This window comes from Homo sapiens, chromosome 9 (assembly GCF_000001405.40).
Source record: "Homo sapiens chromosome 9, GRCh38.p14 Primary Assembly".
In the NCBI taxonomy this organism is placed as follows: domain Eukaryota; kingdom Metazoa; phylum Chordata; class Mammalia; order Primates; family Hominidae; genus Homo; species Homo sapiens.
The window spans coordinates 88,620,935-88,627,024 of record NC_000009.12 but is presented as its reverse complement, the minus strand read 5'-3'; the positions used below and the strand labels follow the sequence as shown (position 1 = coordinate 88,627,024).

General features: G+C 46.9%; 1 annotated feature.

The window, feature by feature from the left end:
• Positions 1,138–1,790: an enhancer, noted in NCBI's record as "H3K27ac-H3K4me1 hESC enhancer chr9:91240150-91240802 (GRCh37/hg19 assembly coordinates)". NCBI's record gives its function as "activates a minimal SCP1, AML or CMV promoter by ChIP-STARR-seq in naive H9 embryonic stem cells {active_cell/tissue: H9 hESC(naive)}" and the evidence as "EXISTENCE:reporter gene assay evidence [ECO:0000049][PMID:30033119]".

Sequence of the window (6,090 nt, the reverse complement as noted above, 5' to 3'; positions counted from 1 at the left end):
TATTGATAATTCTTGGGTGTTTCTCACAGAGGGGGATTTGGCAGGGTCATGGGACAATAGTGGAGGGAAGGTCAGCAGATAAACAAGTGAACAAAGGTCTCTGGTTTTCCTAGGCAGAGGACCCTGCGGCCTTCCGCAGTGTTTGTGTCCCTGATTACTTGAGATTAGGGATTGGTGATGACTCTTAACGAGCATGCTGCCTTCAAGCATCTGTTTAACAAAGCACATCTTGCACCGCCCTTAATCCATTTAACCCTGAGTGGACACAGCACATGTTTCAGAGAGCACAGGGTTGGGGGTAAGGTCACAGATCAACAGGATCCCAAGGCAGAGGAATTTTTCTTAGTGCAGAACAAAATGAAAAGTCTCCCATGTCTACTTCTTTCTACACAGACACGGCAACCATCCGATTTCTCAATCTTTTCCCCACCTTTCCTGCCTTTCTATTCCACAAAGCCGCCATTGTCATCCTGGCCCGTTCTCAATGAGCTGTTGGGCACACCTCCCAGACGGGGTGGTGGCCGGGCAGAGGGGCTCCTCACTTCCCAGTAGGGGCGGCCGGGCAGAGGCGCCCCTCACCTCCCGGACGGGGCGGCTGGCCGGGCGGGGGGGCTGACCCCCCACCTCCCTCCCAGATGGGGCGGCTGGCCGGGCGGGGGGTTGACCCCCCCCCCACCTCCCTCCCGGACGGGGTGGCTGCCGGGCGGAGATGCTCCTCACTTCCCAGATGGGGTGGCTGCCGGGCGGAGAGGCTCCTCACTTCTCAGACGGGGTGGTTGCCAGGCAGAGGGTCTCCTCACTTCTCAGACGGGGCGGCCAGGCAGAGACGCTCCTCACCTCCCAGACGGGGTCTCGGCCAGGCAGAGGCGCTCCTCACATCCCAGATGGGGCGGCGGGGCAGAGGCGCTCCCCACATCTCAGACGATGGGCGGCCAGGCAGAGACGCTCCTCACTTCCTAGATGTGATGGCGGCTGGGAAGAGGCGCTCCTCACTTCCTAGATGGGATGGCGGCCGGGCGGAGACGCTCCTCACTTTCCAGACTGGGCAGCCAGGCAGAGGGGCTCCTCACATCCCAGACGATGGGCGGCCAGGCAGAGACACTCCTCACTTCCCAGACGGGGTGGCGGCCGGGCAGAGGCTGCAATCTCGGCACTTTGGGAGGCCAAGGCAGGCGGCTGGGAGGTGTAGGTTGTAGTGAGCCGAGATCACGCCACTGCACTCCAGCCTGGGCACCATTGAGCACTGAGTGAACGAGACTCCGTCTGCAATCCCGGCACCTCGGGAGGCTGAGGTTGGCGGGATCACTCACGGTTAGGGGCTGGAGACCGGCCCGGCCAACACAGCGAAACCCCGTCTCCACCAAAACCAGTCAGGCGTGGCGGCGCGTGCCTGCAATGGCAGGCACTCGGCAGGCTGAGGCAGGAGAATCAGGCAGGGAGGTTGCAGTGAGCCGAAATGGCAGCAGTACAGTCCAGCTTCGGCTCCGCATGAGAGGGAGACCGTGGGGAGAGGGAGACAGAGGGAGAGGGAGAGGGAGAGGGAGAGGGAGAGACCGGATCCGATTGTGGGATGGTTTCATGGGCATATATTTATCTCCAAATTCATCAGATTGTATACATTAATTAAATACAGTTTTTGTGCTACAATTATACCTCAATAAAGTGAGAGCTTTTTTCAAAAGAGAGGGGAAGAAGGCTGGGCTCATTTGAAACAATGGCTCAGGCTGTCACACCTGGAAGCACATTTGTTATCAGGCCAAGGAAGTTGGAGAAAAGACCTTCATGGCATCATTCTGGCCATCTGTGTAAGACAAACAGCCAGCCTCCTAGCTGGGGATAAATGGCAAGTGTGCCTGCATACATTCCGCTTCCCTGTCATTCTTCCCTTTAATTTCAGTTTGTTTTTCAAGTATTTGTTGAATTCCATGCCCTCCATGTGACCAGCACTGGGTTGGATTCCATGGGCAAATACATATATTTTTGTACTTGGGGTATTCGTTAGTTACCTATTGCTGCATAACAAATTACCTCCAAAACTTAGCAACTAAAAGAAACAATTATCTATTAACTCACAAAGTTCCTGACAGTCAAAAATCTTGGAGTGGTTTATTTGGGTCTTTCTGACTCAGGCTGTCTTATGAGGTTTCAGTCAAGTTGTTGGCCAGGACTGCAGTTATCTGAAGGCTTGACTAGGGCTGGAAGATCTGCTTCCAAGAAACAGCCACTTCAAGTCATTCACATGCCATTGGTAAGAGGCCTCAGTTTCTCATTATGTTGACTCCCCCATAGGTAATATGGTTGGCGTGTGCATGCCCTCCAAATCTCATGTTGAAATGTGATCCCCGATGTTGGAGGTGGACCTGGTGAAAGGTGTTTGGGTCATGGAGGTGGATCCCTCATGAATGGCTTAGTGCCCTCCTTGCAGTAATGAGTAAGTTCTCACTCAATTTCACATAAGATGTGGTCACTTCAAAGAGCCAGGCAGCTCTCTCCTCCCTTTCTCTTGCTCCCTCTCTCAACATGTGACACGCTGCTCCCTCTTCACATTCCACCATCATTAGAAGCTTGCTGAGGCCCTCACCAGAAGCAGATGCCAACACCATGTTTCCTGTACATCCTGCAGAATCATGAGCCAAAATAAACCTCTTTTCTTTATAAATTACCCAGCTTCTGGTATTTCTTTATAGCAACACAAGTGGACTAACACAGAAAATTGTTACCGAGGAGTGGGATGTTGCTATAAAGATACTTGAAGATGTGGAAGCAGCTTTGAAGCTGGGTAACAGACAGACACTAGAAGAGTTTGGAGGGCTCAGAAGAAGACAGGAAGACAAGAGAAAGTTTGGAACTTCTTAGAGACTGGTTAACTGGTTGTGATCAAGGTACTGATAGAAATATAGACAGTGTTTTTCCAACAAGAAACTATAAGAACAAACAAAATTAAAAAAAAAAAAGAAATATAGATAGTGAAGGCCAAGCTGATAAGGTCCCAGACAAAAATGAAGAAGTTACTGGGAGCTAGAGCAAAGGTCACCCTTATTGTACCCTAGCAAAGAGCTTTGCTTCATTGTGTCCATGTCCTACAGTTTTATGAAAGGTTGAACTTAAGAGTGATGACTTAGCATATCTGGCAGAAGAAATTTCTAAGCAGCAAAGCATTCAAGATTTGCCCTAGCTTCTTCTAACAATCTAAGATAAGATATGGAAGCAGAGGAAAAACTGAAGTTGGAACTTGTCATTATAAGGGAAGCATAGTGTAAAAATTTGGAAAATCTGCAGCCTGGCTATGTGGTAGAGAAGAAAAGAGCATTTTCAGGGGAAGAATCCAAGCAGGCTAAGGAACAACCACTTTTTAGAGAGACTAACGTAGCTGCAAGAGAACCAAGTGCTAATAGTCAAGACAACAGAAAAAAGTGCTTGAAGGCATTTCAGAATCTCTGAGGCAGACCCTCCCATCACAGACCTAGAGGCCCAGGAGGAAAGAATAGTTTCCGGGGCCAGGCCCAGGGCTCCGTTGCCCTGCTCCCAGAATCCTGGTAGTTCCATCAACAGCCTCAGTGAAAAGGACCACAGATACAGTTCAGGCCACAACTCCAAATGGCACAAGCCATAAACCTTGGTGGCTTCCACATGGTGTTAAGCCTGCAGATGTGCAGAATGCAGAAGTGAAGGAGGCTTGGAAGCTTCCTCCTAGATTTCAGAGGATGTATTGGAAAGCCTGAGTGCCCAGGCAGATGCCTGCAACAGGGGTGGATACCCCACAGAGAGACTCTACTGAAGAAGTGCTGAAGGGAAATATGGGGTTGGAGCCCCCACACAGAGTCTCCACCACCAGGACACTGGTTAGTGGAGCTGTGAGAAAGCAGCCACTGCCCTCCAGACCGGAAAATGGTACAGCCATCAGCAGCTTACACCCAGAGCCTAGAAAAGCTCCAGGCATTCAACTCCAACCCATGAGAGCAGCCAGAGGGGTTGCACCCTGCAAAATCACAGTGGCAGAACTACTAGGGCCTTGGGAACCCACACCTTGCACCACTGTGCCCAGCATGTTGGACGTGGTGTCAAGGAAGATTATGTTGGAGCTTTAAGGTTTAATGTCTCTCCTGCTGGGTTTCAGACTTGTGTGGGTCATGTTGCCCCTTTCTTTTGGCCAATTTTTTTCCTTTTGGAATGGAAATCTTCACCCAATACCTGTTCCATCATTGTATCTTGTAAGTAAATAACTTGTTTTTATAATTTTACAGGCTCATAGGTAGAAAAAAACTTGCCTTGAGTCCCTGATGAGACTTAGGACTTTGAACTTGAGACTGTTGAGTTAATGCTGGAATAAGTTAAGACTTTGGGGGACTATTGAGAAGGGATTATTGTTTTCTGCCATGTGAGAGAACATGAGATTTGGAGGGCTGGGGGCAGAATGATATGGTTTGTCCCCTCCAAATCCTCCCATGTTGAAATGTGATCCCCAGTGTTGAAGGTGGGCCTAGTGGGAGGGTTTGAATCTTGGGGTTGGATCCCTCATGAATGGCTTAGTGTCCTCCTCACAGTAATGAGTGAGTTCTCACTCTGATTTCACACAAGATCTGGTTGTTTAAAAGAGTGTGGCACCCTTTTTGTCTCTTGCTCCATCTCTCATCATGTGACACGTTGCCCCCCGCCTTCACTTTCTGCTATAATCAGAAGCTCCCTGAGGCCCTCACCAAAAGTAGATGCTGGCACCATGCTTCCTGTACAGCCTGCAGAACCATGAGCTACATAAACATCTTTTCTTTATAAATTACCCAGCCTCTGGTTTTCTTTATAGCAATGCAAGTAGACTAACATGATAGACTTTTAATGAAATGGCAGCTGGCTTCTCCCAGAGCAAGTGATCAGAAAGAGAGAGAGAAAAAAAAAAACAAGACAGAAGCAGCAGAGTCTTTTATAGCCTAGAATAAAAAGTGATATGTCATCACTCCTGCCATATTCTATTGGTCACACAGAACAATCCAGAAAGTAACCCACAGGGGCATGAATCTTTGGAGGTGGGAATCTTGGGAGGTTGGGAACCACCATGGAGGCTGTCTACCATCAGGAACTCATCATCTTATGACCCAGGAAAAGATAGAACAATGAACACGTAATCCTCAAGCAGCCAAATTAATTCATCTTTATTCATTGGTTCATTTTATTTTCATGGAAAAAATTAATGTGATGTCAGCAAGGAGGTATTATTTCTTTTATGTGGATGAGAAAAATGAAGCAAAAACAATCTTTTACTTGCCCAGAGTAACCAGGTAATGATGCAGCTGAGACCAGATCTTGAACGTTTAGTTGACTGGGTTTTCCCCCTCTGCTTTTCCATTACAGAGTGAGGCAATGAGGGTTCAGAATGAAGTTCCCCATAGGATGGAATAAAGAATGACTTGCAGGCAAGAGATAAAGAGAGGGTTTCTGCCATTTCAGGAGAATTTCCTACATGATCCTCCTCCATGATTTTCAGATTAGTAGTTTTCAAATAAAGCCCTTTCTCTCTATCCTGAACAAGGTGTCCTGCTGCTAAAATTAAATTATGCCAATTTCTTACCAAGTACTCATACATATACAATATGGATAAAATTTTCTTTATTTTAAGTTTTTCTCTCCTAAATTTTTCTTAAATTTAGAAGCTTGGTACCAATTATCCACTGAGAACTGGTAGAAAACAAAATGAATAAAGAACAAATGACTAGTAGAAAAAAACCTACACAGACAATATGTTCAGTTAATACTTTGTGGCATTTTGAATGTATTTTCACATGCACTTAAGATTATTTCACATTATGCAAATATATTTTCATAATTATTCCTAACTTGTGTGTCTCATTAAATGAATTGATATTTCCAATGTCTTACCAAGGCATACTGTGACCCTTATCTGGAGGTTAGCTTCCTGAACAAAATCAATAGCACTGAAGATGAGATTCATTCTAATTCACCATCTCTTCTGGTCATTATAATTCTGATCTTTGTCTTCCATAAAAATATATATTGGAGGAAAACAATTTTTAATGTTCTGCCCTGGAAAATACAGACTAGGAAAATATCTTCCTAGTGGCACCCAGTCAGCTTAAT